At 38.6% G+C, this 22842-nt stretch overlaps 1 long non-coding RNA gene across 1 annotated transcript in view, besides 1 other annotated feature; it reads left to right on the top strand.

The window, feature by feature from the left end:
• Window positions 1–21875, top strand: part of LOC105369901 (uncharacterized) — a 53084-nt gene extending 31209 nt beyond the window's left edge. The window contains exons 5-6 of the long non-coding RNA XR_007063580.1: window positions 8818–8947; window positions 18572–21875. This is a non-coding gene — a long non-coding RNA (uncharacterized LOC105369901). The remainder of the gene's footprint in view (window positions 1–8817; window positions 8948–18571) is intronic.
• Window positions 10929–11129: a silencer, noted in NCBI's record as "peak1883 fragment used in MPRA reporter construct". NCBI's record gives its function as "represses an SCP1 promoter by STARR-seq MPRAs in K562 erythroleukemia cells {active_cell/tissue: K562}" and the evidence as "EXISTENCE:reporter gene assay evidence [ECO:0000049][PMID:32103011]".
• Window positions 21876–22842: the final 967 nt, after the last annotated feature.

Raw genomic sequence — 22842 nt, 5'->3', positions numbered from 1 at the left:
ATGAGAGGAAGATGGTTTCTCAAGGCACTTACACACTTTTGGGGAAACAGGCATGTAAGTAATCACCTATTATAGAATACAGAAGTAAAAGTAATATTTTGTGCAAGTATAGAAGTGATAAATTCTAGGAATAGAAGGAGTGTAGGGAAGGGGATCTGGGAAGCTGCTGTACAGGAAGTGGAATGTGACTCAATGTTTGAAGGAGGGCTGGGATATCTATAGAAAGTGAATGAGGAATGGATAGTTTGGGCAGAAAGAAGAACTTTACAAAGTTACAAAGGCATAAATGTGACTAATCTTCGTCCATCTAGTCAATAGGGTGAAAACTGTTGGGGATTATCTTTGATTCCTCCTCTTCCTCAATCTTGTGACATCTGTCACCAAATCCTATTGGTAACACTTTTACAGTCTCTTAAATCATCCATTCTTTTCTACTCCTACTGCCATATACTGAGTTCAAGCCTACTTTACCTTCTTTCCTCTTCTCTAGACTATTGCAACTAACTTCTCACTGGTTTACCAGCCTCTGATCTATCTTCATTCTAATTCCTTTCAGACACTGCCTCTGGAACTCCTTGCCGAACACAAAACTGTGCTATTTGCCTGCCTAGAGCATTGATGGTAAAATAGAGTTTTCAATGTCTGTCACTCAAGGCCTTTCCACATCTCACCTCAATCCCTTTTCTCCTCTAATTTCTGGCCTTACGTTCTCTAAGTCACCATGTGTTTTACCTATAATAAACAATTTTACTCCTTAAATGATGCCTTACATTTTTTTTCCCTGAATTTGCATCTTTGCTGAAACTACCAATCCCAGCCTTCAGAGTCTTTCCCTTTCTCTCTGCTTAATTGATCCTCTGAGGTCAAATTCAATGTTACTTCCTTCTGAGAAGCTTTTCTCAACTTCTACCCCTGTCAAAATGAATCACTCTTTAGACATTGCTTCTGCCACGTAGACCATGCTTTGTATCATAATGATTTCTATTAATTCCCATTCCTCCACTGGAGTGTGACATCCTTGGAAAAAAAGGCCATGTTTTGGTTACTCTGGGCCTACCAAAGATCTCCCTTAGGAATAGTAAATATGCCTTTTCCATTTCTGGCTTTCTTTATATTATTATTGTATAAAACCATTTTCTTTCACTTAAAGGTATACTGTCTTCTAGAAGTAAAAGTCCACAAATTATAAACCATTTTTTTCATGACATTCAGTCTGACACGGTGCTGAAAGCCACTCAACGTGGCTAATTATATGATGAGTTTCAAAAATTAGATCATAGCATGCCCAAGCACGTAGTTAGTTTATCATCAGGGAAATTCATAGCCTTGACTTAACTTGTAGACATGTGAGAATTTTTTTTCTTTTTGCTACATCCATTTTTAAAAATAATGTTGTCCTTTATAACTGGAGGGAAGCAAGTCATATTTAAGAATAAATTATCTTACTCAGGCAAAAATACAAGATCAGGTTGAAGATATTTTCAGCATTCAGAAATAGGACATGAGGTCTTGGGAACTGTAACATTAAATCGGGGTAGAAATATATTAAATAGACTAAAACATAGTGTTTTATGATTGAGTGCATTTCTAGTATCTGGTCCTATGAAGTATTTAGACTGAACTAAGATTCTCATTATAGCTTAACTGAAATAATGAACTCACTGTTGAATTAGGGATAAGGAAGTAAATCATCATGTCTCTAGTCTTGGCCTGATTCATTCAGCTTCTAGGAGATTTTCCCCCTTTGTCATTAATATAAAATAATACTGGAAGTTTATATATGAACAAAGAGACTAATAATCATTATCTATTTAAGTCATGTGACTTCTTGCTCTGAATGCCTTTTTAAAAACATACTTTGTTATAACTTACAATGTGAAACCTGTAAGATATTTAAATGAGCATTGAAACTGGCATAAGGTCCAGGTTTGTGCTTTAAAATCATATAAATTTTACTTGATGAAAATTCTAAAGTTTTCTCAAATTCAGATTATTAAGAAATTCTTAAACAATTTTTATGTGCACTTCCATGCCACTCCCCCACCTGATCTCCAAACTTCTCCAGTCAGTTACCATAGCAGACACTAAACAATGTAGAAAATAGATTTGTTTCCATTGAAGGAATATATATATATAAATAACAAATAAATATTTAAAGGCACAGAAGGATATCTGTAAAGACATTCTTCTCAAAAGTCAGAGTTATCTTGGTTTCAGAAGATACATTATTATGTTCATTAACAGGAGCACAGAAGAGAGTTTGCTTTTTGTAATATAACTACAAATTGTAGAAGTATCTCAGATTGCAGATTCAGGCTATACATATATGCACTACGTTTTTGAGAAAGAATATATATTAATTTATGAAGTGGAAAGTAAATAAAAGGTAAGATAAATTTTGCTTTAAAAGTTGTTTATTATTTACAAAAATGAAGCCAAGGTTGTCATTTTTAGAAATCATGTCAGATGAAGATTAGTTAAAGGAATTGAGAATTTTGTCCTGAGAAAGAGAGAACTAAAGAAAGAGACAAAAGTTTTTAATATTTAAAGATCTCCCTGGAGAAGTAGAAATAGGCCTGTTTTGTATTACGCAGACTGGCTTCTGAATGCTGCAATTCCTCAGCCTACCTCTTCCTGTTAACCTTGGGTTGTGCTGCAAATTAAGGAGAAACCAAGTCTGGGGGAGGAAGAGGGAGTTACCAGTAAGGTGGCTGAGTGTGTGAAATCACATCAAGAGTTTTAATGATGGCCTTGCCCTTTAGTCTAGTGTTTCTGCAGAATCTTATTAACAGTAGCGATGGTAACAATAACAAGACAGTAATAGCTTTATTCTTCTAAGTACTTTAGAGCCTGCATGTAAAATAAATGTACCTTGACAATAAAGCAGCAGCCATTCTTAGATTATTTTTATTTGTTCATTTAAAAATATCTTACCTATGAACGCAAATATATTTTCATAAGAAAAAGAGACAATCCTAAGATACCGATACAACCAGGATGATTCAGTCTTTGAAACAAAGGTATGATTTCAGAGAATAAATAGGGGTCTATTGAGAAAGTTATAAATGTAGTCTCACAAATAAGCTGTGATTTTAATGGGCTTCATTATATTGTTCAACTAAAATTAAAAATTTGAGCAATTTAGAAAAGTCACTTATTATTGTCTTCCCATTTCATCTTGCTCATTAGAGCTGTTTCTTTGTCATGCCAAAATCTTTTTTGAATCAGGGTGAGACATGAACCTGAGTATTTTCTTGACTGTATTCTTGCTTGAGACAATGCAAGAAGTACCAAAGTAATAATATATTTTTAAATAAATATAAATTATTCATTTTATAAAATGTATGTGTATTCATATATATATAGAGAGAGAGAAAGAGAGAGAGTAAGAGAGTCTTTCAGAGCAAAATATTCAGTAGTGACAATGGTAATAAAATTATTCACAATATTGGTCTCATAGATGTTTGCTGTGAATAGACATATGTAGAAAATCATTTAGGGGAAGGTCAAATTTACTACCAATTGATTTCTCTAGAGAGTGTTATTTATGAATGCTCTTAGATTGCATCAAAAGAAAAACTTACAGAGATCACATTACGTTTTGATAAAGGTTTTATAGTTGTTTACACAAAGGTCCTGTCCAATTTTGACAATATGTTCTTGCTAGAAATTTACCAGCAAGAGTGTAAATGTATATTGACATACTTACTAAAATTCATTTGGATTTGATCTGCCTCTATATCCTACTGTTCCCCTCTCTATCCGATAAGCAAGCTGCAACTCTTTATCTTCCTCCCTTTCCTTCTTTTTTCCTCAATACTTCTGTATGGAATTACAACTTTGCAATCAGTTGTTTATTGATGGTTTCCTAGACCCTGTTGCAGGTACTGGTGTACTCTGCAGGATGATGTTTTACCATACACCATTGCACAGTCTGTTGGATGTATATCCTCTTGCATGGTTCAGGGGATTTAGTGAAGAATAGCACCTTGTCAAGGAACACAGCATTTAGAAGGACAGTTGTGATATGTATACATGTAAACACATGCACACACTTGACCATAGTACAATGTTTACAACAGCACAAAGAAACTGTTGTAAGAGTTAGAAGAAGGAGCACTTATTTCTGACAGGCATGGTCATAAAAGCTTCATGAAGAAGGCTACATTTGAGCTCAGCTTTGAAGTATGGGTAATCTGTCAAAGAAAATGATAGGGAGGAGAAAAATGTAGGTGAAGATAAATAATTTTTTAAATTAAAAGTTGTATATTTTTAGTTTTCATCTGTGGCTGCATGATTCATCTCTAATAAATTTTTCTGAGTGGTGTGAGGTAAACGTTAATATTCATTCTTTTCATGTATTTATTCAGTCATTCTAAAATAACTTGTTGATTAGACTTTCCTTTCTCTGTTGAATTGTCTTGGCTCTCTTGTCAAAAATCAGTTGACCTTATATGTATGAGTTTATTTCTGGACTCTCTTTTTTTCCATTGATCTATCAGTCTGTCCTTGCACTTATCCTGTCTTGATTACTGTTGTTTGGTAGTACGTCTTAAAATAAGTAGCTTTTGTCTCCACATTTTCTTTTCATTTTTAAGATCATTTTTGGATATTTTAAATCTTTTGCATTTTCATGTAACCTTAGAAGCAGCCTGTTAATTTCTATAAGAAAGAATCAACAGTTTGCCTACTTGGATAAGCAAAGACTTTTTAGACTCCATAAAGCACTAATATTAAGAAAAAATATGATAAATTCGACTTTGTTCAGATTAAAAATTTCTGCTCACCATAAGACATTACAAATGAAAAAGGTAAAATGCAAACAGAGAAAATCTCTGCAAAACATACATCTGATAAGGAATTTGTATCTAGAATACATAGCCATTACACATCAATAATAAAAGGACAAAATCTAATAAAAATAGGAAAACATCCTGAAAGTCACAAAGTAAGATATATAAATGGACAAAAAGTATATGAAATGTGGTCAACATCACTTGTTGTCACATTAAACCACAATGCGGGATCACTTCACACCAATTAGAATGGCCGAAATTGAAAAGAAAATGGCAAACATAGGAACCCTCATACATTGATAGTTGGAGTGTAGGATGAAAAAACCACTTTGGAAAGCTATGATAATCTCTTATACAGTTAAGCATACACATACTGCAGGACCCCCAAGTTTTGTCACTAAATATTTATCCAAAAGAAATAAAAACATGTATCTACAAAAAGACTTGTACATAAAAATTCATAGCAACTTTATTTATAGTAGCCTCAAACGGGACACAGTTCAAGTATTCATCAACAGGAGACTAAATAAACAAATTGTGACATGTTCACTTGATGGGATACTACACAGCAATAAAAAAGGAACATGCCACTGACATGTGAAAAATGTGGATGGATTCTACAAACATTATGTTTAGCTAAAGAAGCCAAACTAAAAGGATGCATTATGTATCAATGTATTTGTACAGAATTCAGAAAAATCCAAAACTAATATACATTGAAAGAAATCAGAATAGCATTTGTGGTTGGCATTGGGGTTGATCAGAAAGGAGGACAGGGAACTTTTTAGTTACTGAAAATATTCTCTTTGGTATGGTTTGGGTTTCATGAGTGTACACATTTGTCATTTGTCAAAACTCATTGTACTGTACATTTAAGCTCTCTTCATTGTAATGTATATAAACATTATGCCTTAATTAAAAGATATATTAAGTAAAGTCTTAAGATTAAAAAAGAGAAGGAAAGCCAAATATGCAAGTATATATCTACAGAGAGTTGGATATAGAACAGGAAACAGTGAGAGATAATATTAGAGGGCCATCAATGTTAAAGTGTTAGATTTTTTCTTATTTGTAAATGTGCTGTTAAAGATGGCTTTCAAGGAAGGAGGGAAGTTTAAAGAACAAGCTATTCCACCAGGATGTTCCATAGACTTTGCTCCTAAATACATTTAGAATCCATCCACTTCTCTAGATCTTCATCTATTATTTTACCCTTGGTCCACGCCACCATCATCTAGCTTTTGTCCTGGCAGTTATTCTTGCTTCAGTTCTCAGATTCCTACAATCTTCCATCGTCTACACTGCAACCAGAGGGAGTGATCTTTTATTAACATAAATTTGATGACATAAAATTTCCTGCTTAAAACACTGCAGTATCTCTTAATTGTACTTAGAAGAAAATTCAGACTTGAAGGTTTTATATTATCTGGCTCCTGCCTACCTCTCAGTACTTGTACTTTTCTACTGCTGACTGCTGACCTGCTTCTAACTTAAAAGCTAGTACTTTTAACTGTTATTTTTGGGTAGAGGTAACTGTAGTTTTTACTCTTTGCTACTCACAGGTTGGTTTTCTCAGCTTTAAGTTATGGCAAGCTGCTCTGACCAGTTGTCATCAGCTAGACCAAAGAATCTGCTGTTTTAAATTCCTAAAATGTTGAATTCTTTGATCAGTTCCCTGTACTGATGGAAATGGAGTCTAGCCCCTACTTGAGAGTTTTCCTCACCCGAATGACTGTTTCAGAGACACCACTATATTGACAATTTTGAAATTTAGAACAAGGCCTAATTCTAGGTCTCTGCCTTCTGTTCATGGTACACCTCAAGCTAAATTTATATTTTCATGACTTTTCTTCCCTTTCTGGACTCTGTCTCATCTCCAAATTGTAAGTGGTTTTTGCTGTTCTCATTCGAGCAGCCACATGATTATGGGAACCTACAAACTGGGAGCAGAACTAGTGATTAAGATGGGGCATGTAGAGTTTGGAACAACTTATTAACTTCTGGGTGTGGCCCACACGAATCTGGCAAGCTCAGACTCATAGCACTTCTCCTTGAATTTACCCTGGGGAAGAGGCTTAGCTAGCAGTTCTTTAAAGAGCTCAGGGTTTGGTGCCAGGTGTTTGCCTTGTAAAACAGCTGACCAACTTTACACAATGCAATCAGAGTCTTGGGTTGCCTCCCACAAGGAAGAACTGACCCATTTCAGTTAACACTACAGAAAACTTTCTCAGAGACAAAAAATGATCTTGGGGAACAAGGAAAGTGCCTATTAATTGAATTTTGTATAATTTTTTATTGTAGAAAAACTACACATAACATGAAACTTACAAGTTCCATTATTTTAAAGCATACAATTCAGTAGCATTAAGAACATTCATAATATTATGCAGCTATCATTATTATTTAGTTCCAGAACTATTTCATTGCATGAAAAAGAAACCTTGTACCCTCTTAAGCTATCATTTCCAACTACTTCCCCAATTAACCCCTGGAAATCACAAATCTGCTATCTATCTCTATGAATTTGCCTATTCTGGATATTTCAAATAAATAAAACCATACACTATGTGGCCTTTTGTGTCTGCTTCTTTTACTTTTAGCATGTTTTCAAGCTTCACTGGTGTTGTAGCATTTAACAGAACTACATTCCTTTTTATGGCTGAATAATATTCTGTTATATGGATGTACTACATCTTGTTTATCCGTTTATCTGTTGATGAACATTTGGGTTGTTTCTACCCTTACGCTATTATCAATGGTGCTACCATGAATATTATTGTAAACAGTTTTGTTTGCACACCTATTTTCAATTATTTTTGACATATGTCTAGGAGTAGACTTGCCAGGTTATATGCTAATTCTGTGTTTAACTTTATTGAGGCACTGCTAAACTGCTTTCTACAGTGATGGAGCAGTCTTACATTCTTGTCAATCATGTATGAGAGTCAGTTTTGAAGCATTTTTGAGTATTTTATGAAGGTGCCCGTACCTATAAGTGAATCATTAAATAATATTTTAATGGTAAGTAAAAGAAAACTGATTTGTGCTTTTAAAGTAAGGTGAATTTATCTTCTCCTCTTCAGTTGAATTCTTCTTTCCCTCCTCCTCCCTCCACCAAGGGATGAGAATAGACTATGACGGCTAATTTTGAGTCAGGTCCCAGGAAATTCTGAAAGTTACTTGCTAGGGCACCCACATGTAAAAAGTTTGCCTGTGTAGTGTTTTGAAATAGTCACAGCTCAGATGTGAAGAAATATTAACATAACTTTACCTTTTATATTACTGAGCTCTATTTAGCCCTGGCACCCCCATTTTTGCTGCTGTTAAAAACCTCTTAATCTTGTCACTGAAAGCTATTATGGTCTCTTCTGGTTTAAACATTTGAAACTCAGTGGAATTGTTAATTCCACCCAGAATTTGGTCATTAACTCAAAGGTGAAACTACCTACAAGGGCTGTTCTCTGTTCTCCTGGCCCTGGCCCTCCCCACTGCCTCCCCCCATCCCAGGAATGTACAATCATCATGGCATTGGAAGTGTGTTTGGTCCACACATCCCTATCAGGTCCCTACTACCTCTGCTTGGTCTTTTGGTGTTAACCTTGTCCTTGATATATTTGTATTAACTGTACCAGCCAGGCCTTTAGGAATGTACCAGAATTTTCTAGCAATGTCCATAGCGTTGCCCACACCCTATGAAAATAAAATGTGGCTCCCCTGAACTCGTATCCTAGGTTTCCTCAAATCCCCTGGACCACTCAGCATTTATGTCACTCTCTCAGTCTTTCACCCTGTGGGTGATATGTGATAAGTCCAGTGGATCTCATAGCATTTGCCCATCACCCTATTTCCTTAGTCATAAAGTAGGTTCATTGATTTGATGCAATGTTATATGGGAATCCAATTAAGTGGCTGGAACTATAAGCCCTAAACAGTAGTTCTGGTTGAAGTCTTGTAGGTAGGAAATTCAGTTCACATCCAGAATATGCACTGGCAATTCAAAATGAATCTTTGTTTCCTCCAGAGTAGAAGGGCTTCAATGAAGTCAACTTATACCACTAAGTGGATTGTTGATTCTTCGATGGATGAGGCTGTATAAGGGGATCAACATTAATCAATGTTGCTGACAGGCTGGACATTCAGCAGCAACCTTGGTAAGTGGAAATCCATAATTGTGGGTCAGTGCAGGGCCTTTTTCTCTGTCGTCATTGTTCTACATTTACAAACACATTGTACCAGCTCTAGGATAGCAGGTGACAGAGGCTGACTGATGTCAACTGTCCAAGTTATTCTCTGTACTTGGTTGCTTGGTGTCTCCTCCTTGGAAGATACTCTATAGTAGTGGTAACATATAATGCAAATGTAAAGATCTCTTTTCAGGCCCAAAGTTCTATCCACATGCTTCTATTCCACATTTTCTGATACCTGATCTTCTAATATTTCTTCTTCCAAGTCTCCAACTAACCAGATAAGCTACTGGTTGAGCCTATGTATATTTTATATCAGGATACTTCTCTTTCCACATAAAGAAAACGAGGTATATTATTGCCTGAAGATCTGCCCATTGGAATAATTTCACCTCACAGACCTCACCTTCAAGGTCCATCGCTTAATGGGAATGTAGTGTAGCCAAAGTCCATTTTTGGCTTATACCCACATACTGACCCACATTCATGGTCATGAGACAGCCCATCTATGAATCAAGCTTGACTTTCCTCCCCCTTCATCAGCTTGGGGTAGGAAGAATCATGAATGGAATCACCATGAGTGACATGGGTTCACCTCTTGTGCCTTACATTTGTACCTCTGGCCCTGCCCTGGCTTTGATCCCAGATATTTCTCTTCCAGCACATGTTGGATAACTTCTGGAACTGTCCAATTTGGTGTGTCTGGTAGAACCCAGCTCCTATTGAGAAGTTTTGGGTTTGAGATCACTTTGTGCATCATGGTCAGGCACTTAGCCTTTCCAGTACCAATTATCACACTTAAGCAGTTTTTGAAAAAGGGTATAATTCTCTGCTACAGAAGGCATGACCTTTTTTCAGAACTCTAAAGGAGATACTCCTACTGGGATTTGAACTTCTAACTATTTAGGTTCTGCTGAGTCAAGTGGCCCAAATGGCAAAACCATCTACATCACAGCCTAGACTTGCTGCTGGGAGAGTCATTTCTTGCCCTGGCTCCCACTCAAAGCTGGCGGCCTTTCATATCACCTGGTTTATGAATCAGAAAAGTATTCAGATTCCTGCCTCCAGGAATGGGACATGAATTTGGTTGAAGTGGCTCTCTTCCATTAAGACCAATTTCTAGCATTCTCAGTATTTGAGGGTAATTTCAGTCCCTAAAAGGGATAACAGCAGCACATAACAGAGTCCACTATAGCTTCAAATCAGTGGCAGTTAGACTGACAGCTAACTTATCAGTAGCAACAAAGGATGCCAGAGACAGTGGAATAATATTAGAAATGTGCTGAAAAAATAACTGCCAAACTAATATTCTGTATTCATCCAGTATCCTTCATGAGTTAGTGTAAAATAAAAAATTTTTCAGGAAGCAAAGGAAAAAAGATAAGAGAATTTGCCCTCAGCAACCCCTCACTAAAGCAATTAATTTTAAAGGACATATTTCAGGAAGAATGAAAACGGTCTGAAATGGGTACAAGAAAAAATGAAGAACAAATAATATAGTTAATATGTGTGTAAATTTAAGTGAATATTGACTGTATAAAATAATAATGTCATGTAGGTTTTATTTTAAAATCTCCTAACGTTTTGCTAATATCTGAATTATACATAGTATATTTAAGTATATTTTGTATACTTAAAATTTGATACTTCCTAGAAAAGCTGGAGTACAGCGTTACATGGGTATAAATTTGGGTATAAATTTGGGTATAAATCATGGTGCAGACACATACAGTGCCTTCTCTAAGAAAAACACAAAAACCAAGAAACAGAAAATAAACAAGAATACACAAACAAATACTACCAATTCTATGAAAATGAACAGCTGTAAATATGGACCATTACACAAAATTTCACATTCCTGCTATGGTTTTTGTGGTGATTACTTAATAACAGATGCTAAAAATTAAATAAATAAGATGCAATGGTTGAATTGCATTTTTTCTGTTTTTTTATTCCCCCTTAAGAGATCATTCTCAACCACTTGTCTACTATATATTGATTGAAAGCTATTTGGAAATTACTCCATCAATGAAATGCAAACACCTATGTAGGGAAACGAAGCAGCTGTTTAAATGCTCAGAGCTTCACTAGACAAAGACATCCTCTTCCTTAACACAGGCTCTGTTTACACTATTCTAAAACAATGACTCATTCAGGGAAAAATTCAGTATTTCCAGGTTGTGTAAACACAACCATTATTTATAAAGAGATTTATAAGAAGGCCTGGTATTAACTACTTCCCAGTTGAGGAATTGCTAAGTGCTAGAGTTAGACTCATGTGTGTCTGTGTGTGTGTATGTGTATTTGGTGAATTCAGAATTGTTTATATTTGTGGGCCACACTTAAAAACCCAGTTCTCCTTATTTTGCAAAATCAACTATCAAGCTCGGAATAAATAGAAGTGTTACAAGTGGTAGCATAATTTCTAATTCTAAATAGCCTACTTATACCATACAGAAATTAGCAAATATTTTTACATAAACAAAGCCATACCATTGTCAATTATTCATAATTATTTTCTCATCAAGGAAAATTGAGTGACATGCAGATTCTGAATTTTGCCTGGGATTGAATACCAGTTTCATCTCTGGTTTATTATATGGCATTGAGTAAGGCACTTCTTCTCCGTGAGCCTTGGTTTCTACATCCTTTTTTTTTTTTTTTTTCTTTTTGAGACAGAGTCTCACTCTGTCACCCAGACTGGAGTGCAGTGGTGGGACCTTGGCTTACTGCAACCTTTGCCTCCTGGGTTCAAGGGATTCTTCTCCCTCAGTCTCCCGAGTAGCTGAGATTATAAGCACCCGCTACCACTCTCAGCTAATTTTTGTATTTTTAGTAGAGACAGAGTTTCACCATATTGGCCAAGCTGGTCTCAAATTCCTGACCTCAAGTGATCCGCCCACCTTGGCCTCCCAAAGTGCTGGATTACAGAGGTAAGCCACCATGCCTGGCAGGTTTCCGCATCTTTTGAATGGCAAAATTATTATTATTATTATTATTTATACTTTAAGTTCTAGGGTACATGTGCACAACATGCAGGCTTGTTACATATGTATACATGTGCCATGTTGGTGTGCTGCACCCGTTAACTTGTCATTTACATTAGGTATAACTCCTAATGCTATCCCTCACCCTCCCCCCACCCCATGACAGGCCCCAGTGTGTGATGTTCCCCACCCTGTGTCCAAGTGTTCTGGTTGTTCAATTCCCACCTATAAGTGAGAACATGCGGTGTTTGGTTTTCTGTCCTTGTGATAGTTTTCTCAGAATGATGGTTTCCAGCTTCATCCATGTCCCTACAAAGGACATAGACTCATCCTTTATGGCTGCAAAGTATTCCATGGTGTATATGTGCCACATTTTCTCAATCCAGTCTATCACTGATGGACATTTGGGTTGGTTCCAAGTCTTTGCTATTGTGAATAGCGCCACAATAAACATACGTGTGCATGTGTCTTTATGGCAGCATGATTTATAATCCTTTGGGTGTATACCCAGTAATGGGATGGCTGGGTCAAATGGTATTTCTAGTTATAGATATTTGAGGAATTGCCGCACTGTCTTTCCACAATGGTTGAACTAGTTTACAGTCCCACCAACAGTGTAAAAGTGTTCCTATTTCTCCACATCCTCTCTAGCACTTGTCTCCTGACTTTTTAATGATCGCCATTGAATAGCAAAATTATTATACCACACAGAATGATTGTGATGATTAAAATAATCTTAAAAATGTGTATCATTTGACACAACGCTTGTCACTCGACACTCAATACAAGTTACCCGTTATTTTAAATCATGAGGTATTTTGCCAGGTTTAGTATTGATGATCCTCAATTAGTTAATATTCAGCCCTTGTACTTTTGGCAATAAATGATTGTTCATACAGACTTGCTAGAAATGAAAATTGCTGCCAGTCACTAAGCTTCAATCAAATCACAACTGAGTAATTCAATAGCCAATTGTTTTAATTACTTGTGACTCTATCTCACAGAGTGTAACTGTAGGTATCCTGGGAGGCTATGATGTTTAAAACCAGCCACTTTACAGTTAGGGTCCTGGCAGGGAACAGTGACACATTCAAACTAGGTAATGGAGAAGAGTTTAATAGAGAACTATTTACAAAGTTGTTGGCAGGGCTTAGGAAGAAAAAGTGATGATGAAACACCCTGAAGTTAGATAATGTTGGGGAGTAGTTACTACTTCGAAGTCTGAAAGGGCAAGGGGAGTGTTGTTATAGGGCCCTGAAGTGGATCGCTGGGAAGATAGGTCCTTTTTTTTTTTTTTTTTAGACAGAGTCTCTGTCACCCAGGCTGGAGTGCAATGGCATGATCTTGGCTCACTGCAACCTCCACCTCTCGGGTTCAAACAATTCTCCTGGCTCAGCCTCCTGAGTAGCTGGGATTATAGGCACATACCACCATGACAGGCTAATTTTTGTGTTTTTAGTAGAGACGGGGTTTAACCATGTTGGCCAGGATGGTCTTGATCTCCTGACCTCATGATCCACCCGCCTCGGCCTCCCAAAGTGCTGGGATTACAGGCATGAGCCATCGCGCCTGGCCATTAGGCCCTTTTAACAGGGGCTGTGACTTTTAGTAGAGAGACACAGTTAATGTTGCCACCTGGCTATAAAGGGGCTAGGAGACAACTACCCCAACTTACTCTCTTCCTGCTATTCAAATCCCCTTCTAGAGCTTCCAATTGGCTATACCCTAATAGAAGATGAGGTCAAGGTGAGAGGTGACAGTGTGCTGGCAGCCCTCACAGCCCTTGCTGGCTCTCGGCTCCTCCTCGGCCTTGGCGCCCACTCTGGGTGCGCTTGAGGAGCCCTTCAGCCCACCGCTGCACTGTGGGAGCCCCTTCCTGGGCTGGCCGAGGCTAGAGCTGGCTCTCTTAGCTGGCAGGGAGGTGTGGAGGGAGAGGCGCGAGCGGGAACCGGGGCTGCGGGTGGTGCTTGCGGGCCAGCTGGAGTTCCAGGTGGGCATGGGCTTGGCGGGTCCCGCACTCGGAGCGGCCGGGGCAATGAGGGGCTTAGCACCGGGGCCAGCGGCTGCAGAGGGTGTACTGGGTCGTCTAGCAGTGCTGGCCCACCGGCGCTGCGCTCGATTTCTCGCCAGGCCTTAGCTGCCTCCCTGCGGGGCAGGGCTCGGGACCTGCAGCCATCCATGCCTGGGCCTCCCCACCGTCCGTGGGCTCCTGTGCGGCCCGAGCCTCCCCAACGAGTGCGGCCCCCTGCTCCACGGCGCCCAGTCCCGTCGACCACCAAAGGGCTGAGGAGTGCGGGAGCAGGGCAGAGGACTGGCAGGCAGCTCCACCTGCAACCCCGGTGTGGGATCCACTGGGTGAAGCCAGCTGGGCTCCTGAGTCTGGTTGGGGACTTGGAGAACCTTTATGTCTAGCTAAGGGATTGTAGATACTCCAATCGGCACTCTGTATCTAGCTCCAGGTTTGTATACACACCAGTCAGCACCCTGTGTCTAGCTCAGGGTTTGTGAATGCACCAATGGACACTCTGTAGCTACTCTGGTGGGGACTTGGAGAACCTTTGTGTCCACACTCTATATCTACTAATCTGGTGGGGATGTGGAGAACCTTTGTATCTAGCTCAGGGATTATAAATGCACCAATCAGCACCCTGTCAAAACAGACCACTGGGCTCTCTGTAAAATGGATCAATCAGCAGGATGTGGGTAGGGCCAGATAAGAGAATAAAAGCAGGCTGCCCAAGCCCGCAGTGGCAACCTGCTCGGGTCCCCTTCCACACTGTAGAAGCTTTGTTCTTTCGCTCTTTGCAATAAATCTTGCTACTGCTCACTCTTTGGGTCCACACTACCTTTATGAGCTGTAACACTCACCGCGAAGGTCTGAAGCTTCACTCCTGAAGCCAGAGAGACCACGAAACACATCGGGAGGAACAACTCCAGACTCGCCGCCTTAAGAGCTGTAACACTCACCGCGAAGGTCCCTGGCTTCACTCCTGAGCCAGCGAGACCACGAACCCCACCAGAAGGAAGAGACTCCGAACACATCGGAACATCAGAAGGAACAAACTCCGGACATGCCGCCTTTAAGAACTGTAACACTCACCGCGAGGGTCCGCGGCTTCATTCTTGAAGTCAGTGAGACCAAGAACCCACCAATTCCGGACACAAAGGGAGCCTGCTGATTACTTCCATGCAGCTCATTTTCTAGAGCGCCAAACACTGAAGCATGGGTTTGGAGGAACAAACAGAAAGCAGCCAGTATCATAGTTAATGCCGTTTGCCCATAGTTGATATGGGAACGGTCAAAATCTACTCAAAATAATGTTGCAATCCCAGACAATCTTTGCTCAATTAGATAGTGCGGCACTCTGGATCCACTAGGCATATTTCAGCCCCTGGAATGCATACAAAGTGGCTCCATAAGAAAAATACTGGCTTGACTGCATTTGCCTGGTCATTTCCATGTGGAGACAGGGCAAATTTTCACAGGGTAAAAATCCTATTGTGTTTTGTGACCTTCAAACCGTTAAGTTCCCAATTTAGAAGATGGCTTTGATCCTAACTTAGGGATATCTTGCCTAGGCGGAAAGTGCCAGGCTAAGCCTCCAGTAAATAAATCAATAAGCATCATGAGATCTACAATCTGGAATCAGACAGTTTGCTTGATTGCTGAGATAGGGTCTATGGCAGATCCTATGTTTTGTGTTCTTCAGCCCCCATAGAGCCTTGAGAAGACTGCAGCTCTAGCCAACTGCTTGACTGCAACCTTGTGAGAGACCCTGAGCTGAGCTAAGATGCTCCTTCCTGCCTGGCTCCCAGAAATTGTATGAGATAATAAATGTTTGTTGTTACTCAGCAATAGATAACTCGTGCAATAACATGCAAGACATTTTTTAAAAGGCCAAGGGCATTCACTGAAAACTGACTAAGGAATAGTCTTGAACAGAGTGAGCATGGAACCTTGGAGAAAAGAACCAGTGTTGGCTGGGAAAATTTCATATGCCTGTAATGAACAACAGAGTAAGACACACCTATGTGTTCAGTAAAACTATAGCTACTAGCAAAGAGAGATGAAGAAATAGTCATTTGCCAAGTGCTTGTCTTGTATATTCTTTATTGTTTGCAAAAATTCTGTGGTTATGTGAAATACATGATTTTTGGATCAGAAGCAGACATAGCTACTCAAAGTCGCACAGATAGTAGATGATAGAACTTGGATTAGACTCCAAGCCAGTCTAACTCCAAAGTTTCTGTGCTTCTGTGTGCTAAAAAAAAAAAAAAAAAAAAAAAAAAAGGGAAATTCAACAAGGGAGATTGTATTGGGAGATGAAGTAAGATAAACAAAACTGTCAGGGGAAAAATCCTTCAGGCTTTTGGAAGGATGGGGGAAACTGCCTGTGGTGAAAACAAAACAAAACCTAGCAAAAACACATGGCTGATTAAAAAGAGAAAGCAAAGCTGGCCTCACTAGAGAACAGAAGGCATTTGGGCTATAATAGAGGTTAGAGTGAAAGAAGCCCCATCTGTAGTCATCTCTTCAAGGCCAGATCGAAATATGCAGAATATGGATGGCTCTACTTGTTTGCAGATTGATGCTCCCCACCCACCCGAAATGGATACACAAGGGGAAAACACAGCACCTATAGTAACAGGGAAATATGAACACCACCAAGACAACAATCTCTGGCTCAGAGCACATGGTGGGGAGACCAGGTCTTGGAAAATCCTCTAGTAGGAAAGTGAAAAGAGGTCAAGGAGAATTTTGCCAAGAATATGCCACGTGATACCATAATTTTCTATTTCTACATCTTCGGTGACATTGTTCAGCTAAAATAAAAGCCACACTAAGTAACATTTAAAGGAGGATGTATTCTTGTTTTACGGGGGTGGTGAAAAAGGGTGTTATAGGAAACAGATTTGAGGACCTTGAATTTTGGGGGAACTTGTTTAAGCAATATGACTTAATGGGTAAGTGGTTAAACAGAAAGTCTCCACAGCTAATTACTCTAGAGTGGAGGTGGAGGTTTAAGAGTATTTCACAGGGAGGGTCATGACTTCCGTGATTTGGCCCAAGGAGAATCTGTTTTGTGATCTGACCCCAGTAGAGGTGGAACATCAGTCCTGGCCCACCAGACCAAGCGATATATCAGTTTCTCTGCCATTGCAGAGAAACAGAAGTACAGGGAGGAACACAGAACGCTTAGAGAGACACAGTACACAGCTGTTGCAAAGTCATGTCACCCTTGTAGGTGAGCTCAGGCACTCAGCAGTTTTGCTTAGCTGATTGGTTGGCCTTACTGATACTATCTTAGCCTGGCTTACTGGCAGACAGCAGGGTCTGAAACACATCTTTTATCCAGGTAGTTTGCTTGGGGATGTGATCTCAGGGCCACAAGTTGGAGACTAGGGAGGGTGAAATTGGGGAGGAGGGGCTGCTAAAATAAGAATGCATTATCTATCCAGTCATAGCTGTGGGCAACTGGGGTTTGGTCCCACTGTAACTCTTGGAAGAGCCATATAGGCTGTGCCTCTGAATTGTCAGTATGAAAGGAAGAAGAGAAGGTATTTATCCACTGTCTCCAGCTCTGCATTGACCAAGGGTTGCCTCACAGGATGGCAGTCTTCCAGATTTATGCATGCATTGGTACCAATCAGGTTTTCATAGGCATCCCATGTCAGAGAAGTCTGAATGCAGAAAGTAAGCAAACTGGGTGTAGTGGGGACAGGGTGCTGACAAGCTTTAGCAGCCTGAAGTTGATTTGTGGCTACCATTGAGGGAGTATAAGCCTTGAGGCATGACTCAATAAGTGTTTGATAACAATCTGCTGAAAACTGCTTAGGCAAACGTGAACAGTTCAAAAACTGAAACAATGTAAGGGTTCTAATTCAAGAAAACACCACCTGCCTGGCTGGGACAGGGATGCGGGACATACAAAATACTCAGCAGGATGTAAAAGATGGCATATTGTACTTGAATTATTCCCTTGGCTATTGTTGTCATTTTACTAATTCCTGTTCAGGAGTGAAAATGGAAATGACTCTCAATTCCCTATTATTATTTGTCATTTGTTTTATGTAAGTATACTTAAAATTGTTGTTTAAATATTCTCATATAGTTCGCATTTCAGTGAGTGGGTTCAGTAATTTTTATCAAATTATTTTGCCTTCTTTTAAAGTCCTATGGCTCGCTCCAACTCCACAACATGCACATATTCATATATTTATATTTTTAGATACCTAAATGGGTTGAACTCAGCTGGGCTGCCAATCAAGATCCCAGTGCCTTGAGAAAGCAAAATCAGATAAGCATTATCCCTTTACAGACTGGGATTTCAGTCTGTGTATGCTTCGTGTTATAATAATCACTTTTATGGGTTCCTGAAAAAGGATTTCTAACCTGTGCTTACATTAAATCATATCAGGTGGCCTCCTTAATTCAGAGAAAATGACATTCAGAAATAAACTTAGGAGGAATTTTTTAAAATAAAAAATCTCAAAAAAGTAAGTCTCTCACTGTGTACCTTCTCTTTGCCAGTTGCTTTATATACATAATACTCAAATTTACAATAAACATACAAACATGATATTATCATCTCTATTTTTACAGACAAGAGAATGAAGGCCAAATTGAGTTTCCTTGAGCAACTCATTTAACGTTAAGAATCAAGATGGTGCCCAAGCTCAGATGACATCCTTTCTAACCCATTTGGAAGGCTCCTCTCATAGGAGGTGTGAAAGAAAAGAGAATGGAAAGGAACAGGCTCTTCTCTTGAAGAAAAGCCCTCAGTCCATACAGCCAGACTTTGTCTACATATGCCTTTCTATGGGATGCTGAGAGACCAAGGGCTTCTGACATAGACATGTGAGAAATACTGGCTTTAAGTATACTATACTCAGTGTCAAAAGCTTTCAGGATGCAAGAAATTCCTGAATTTGAGTCTCCAAAATTTTAAACAAGGAAAGGAAGTAAAAATTATCTCTTTTTCGATGTATGGCCCTATAGTTGGCCAAAAATGATTGCTTCTGTTGTTAGATATTCATGTATATTTAAGATTAAAGAAGGTGATATTGATGTGCAAATATGAGAGTAAATTGACAGACAGATAACCTAAAAAAGTACAGTAAAATAAAGTTAAGAGTTGTGATGAATACCTAAAGGTCCATTGCCAGATGAATGTGAAGACGGAATGTGATTTATATATATAGTGGAATATTATTCAATTAAAAAGAAAATGCTAACACTTGCTAATATATATAAACCTTCAAGACATTATGCTAAGTGAAAGAAGCCAGATACCAAAGGACAAATATTGCACTGTTCCACATATATGAAGTGAACATCACATATTGCTGAAGTTCTCATCATCAGAAAGAGGCAGAGCTAAGATTTAAATCCAGACATGCCTGGTTCTGAATTCAGTTGTCTTCCTACACCCAGGAGCTTATTACATGCATTGTGCTAGTCTTCCTGGAAATCAGGCAAACTCAGTCCACTGCACCTCATCTCCTTATGTAATAACCTGGAGAGCGGTGAGAGCCATCTGCTTCAAGAGCGACATATTTGAGTCCATAAGGTAATAGGTTGGCAGAGAACAGAAGGATTATGGCATTGCCATTTGGCATTCTTGACTTACTCTGCATTTATAAAATCGAAATACATAGTCCATCATGTTCTCACAGAGCCTACCATTATCAGTCATTCTGAAATAAACATGGTTAGGGACATCATATTCAAAATAAGTGATCCTTGTTTTCGGGAATGATGTCTGGCAGGAGGAGTTTTTAAATCCTGCTTTCTGAAGCACTAGCTTACAAATGACTTTGTGAAGTGTATTTTGATTCTGGGGCCCAAGAAGGAGAAAAACAAGTAAGGGAGAAAAACATAGGCTGGATCTTAAGATCACAAGATAACAGATGGATTAAAGGGTAGAAGCCAGAGCAGAGGTTCCAAAACAAGATTGATCATTCAAATTCATCTGAAGAACTTTAAATATATGTATTTACCTGAACCCAGCTTCAGGAATGAGGCTCAGACATCTGTGTATTTAAAATCTCCTGTGGTTATTCTGATAATTAGCCTCAGTTTTGAGTCATCTAACAAAGAAAAAGCAAAACATATGTCAATCAGTTTATCTTACTGTAATTAAACTTCAGTGGGAAACATGAGGTGACCCCAAAGAACTGGTTAAGTGTGGCTTAAGAATTAGTTAAGCAAATGTACCAAAAGACAATTTTAAAAAACCAAATAAAAAGAAATTTTAGTTTATTCTCAGGGGCTTTCACAGGAGTCTATAAAAATCTCAAAAACATCCAGGAAGCTCCCATCGAATAATTTGGCTACCTGAAGTGCTGAATAAAAGGAGCTCTCCCAAAAGAAGCTGTGAATTCTCTATCAGGCCCATGTCCACTCTTCTAGTCATAGCCTTACTTCTTAAAGAAAGAGAGAAGCTCTAATCCAAATCCAAACATAGGACATATGGCGAAGATTATTCTGAGAGACACAGTCCCAGATTCTCCTCTGCTATACAGGTGTGACAAAAAAGGAGCAAGAACAAAGACTCTAACATAATCCTTAGATGTTTATAATAGAAAAAAGAATGGAAAGAAATAAACTTTAGCATTTACACAGGTTGAGCTGACCTAATCTGAAAATCCAAAATCCAAACTGCTAAAAAACTGATTGAGTTCTGAAGCTTTGAGTGTCAAAATGGCTCCACAAGTAGAAAGCTCCACATCTGACCTCATGTGATAGGTCACGGTCAAAATGCAATCAAAATTTTGCTTCATGCCCAACATTATTTAAAATATTGTATAAAATTACCTTTGGCTATATATTAATATGTAAGGTATATATAAAACATTAGTGATTTTTGGTTTAGTCTTGGATCCTATCCCCATAATATCTCAATATATGTATGCAAATATTCCAACCTCCCTGCGCCCAAAAAATCCAAAATCCTAAGCACTTCCAAAATCTAACAGTAAAACAGGCTGAGTATCCCAAGCATTTTGGATAACAGATGTTCAACCTGTATCACTTGGGGTCCATTCAGGGGAACAAACCCCACGAGGTATTTCAACAGAGATAATTTCATATAGGGAATTTGTTAATCAGATGATGGGGAACTGAAAAGGAAAATGAGAACATTAGAAGAGATCATTACAAAAAGCTGCTACCTCCCCTCAGGCTGGAGGAATGAAAGGAAGCTGAGATCAGGAAGCTCATTGGGAAGCTGATCAAAACTTACAAGGTTCATAGAGGGGCCCAAAGATTTAGGACTCAGAATTCCAAGGAGGGTGTTACCTACCTCCAAGGAGGCTGCTACTGAAATCTCAGGAGCTTGGAGGGAGGGTCTCACACAATGGGGGCCTAACCTCTGAAGTGAGGAGCTACCAGCTAGTGCTGGTACCTCAGAAGTTGGGAAGAGGTCCTGTGATGTTGAGATGCAGACACATAATGAGTGGGCTCTGCAGCTGGTGGTCGTGAAGGGGCACAATGACTCTGTTAGTGGGAATGGCCCGATGATCTGAAAGCTGTAATTAACAGCTGCTGCCAGGGTAAAAGGCCAAAGTGGGGTGATCTGATGGGAAAAAATAAACAAGCAGAAATGAACAAGTTCCTTCTCCCCTTCTCCTGCCATTTACTCTTCCCCTAGTTCTTCCTATTGATGGAAATTAATAGTAAGCCTTCTGACAAAGGAGACATGTTGTCTTCAGAACCATCATCACAAAGTAGAGGCTAGGAAAGTAGATGTGGAACCTAATACCGGGTGAATCATTCATCGCACAGTTTCAAAGGTGGCAACAGAATTAGCCAAAAGCAAGTATAGGATGAAAATAACAAAGGGAAGGGCAGAAATAAAATAAGACATAAACATTTGATAGAGAGGACCAACAAAACAAAATTTTAATTCAGTGGGAAAACAAAATAAAATTCTTACAAGCTTGAGTTAAAAAAAAGGAGGAAAAAAGCCACAATGTTATGACTGAAAAAAAAAGGTAACTAAAAATGCTGCAAGGTTAAATTTAATGAAAATATGAACAACTTTATGTTAACACATTTGGAAACAGATAACACAGGCATATTGGAGAGCAATACAATTATTATAGCTGTAATCTTAGGGATTATTTAATTAATCCTTTAGAACATTCAATTTCTATATATTAATAAAAATATAAATATATATTCAATATATGATATGTCTCCATGTATTTATATGATATATTTTAATATAGATGTATATTTTTATATATTTCTATTTCTATGTATGTATAATTCTATAAATATATAGAAATTGAGTGTTCTAAAGGATTAATGGAATTAAAAAAGTAGTTAAAAAATTCCCACTCAAAAAAAGGATTAAAAACTCCGGGTTTAGGCTCTTTCAGAAAATTGAAAATCCCTGTGCTTAATTACTTTTTTTATGTCCTTAATTTCTTCAAATATTTCATATATATCTGTTTTATATCCTGTACCTAATAATTTCAGTATCTACAGTCCTTCAAAGGTGCACTATCTCTAGCTATTATTTATCATTTTTGTTGATGTTCACCCATGGTTGCTTGTGTATTCTTTGACTGTACTTGCTGTTCTTTGCATCTGAATTTACTGCCTGATTTTAATACATATAATCTCCATGTACCTAAATTAAAATATCTTTTCTCCAGAGATGGTTTGCTTCTACTTCTGCCTCTGCTTTTATAAGTAGCCAGGAGATACCACTGACTTGGGAGCATTTATGTCTACTTTAAGGTTTTAGGCTCAGCACCAGAGTACCAGACTTGGCTTCTCTGCCTGTGCGCTGGCCCTAGGCTATTGGGAATTGTAGTGGCACTATTGGGATCCCTGCTTGGGAAAAGCTGCCCCACCCACCTTCC

The sequence above is a fragment of the Homo sapiens genome, chromosome 12 (assembly GCF_000001405.40).
Source record: "Homo sapiens chromosome 12, GRCh38.p14 Primary Assembly".
NCBI lineage: Eukaryota > Metazoa > Chordata > Mammalia > Primates > Hominidae > Homo > Homo sapiens.
The sequence above is the reverse complement of the archived record's forward strand: the minus strand, read 5'-3'. Positions and strand labels throughout refer to the sequence as shown.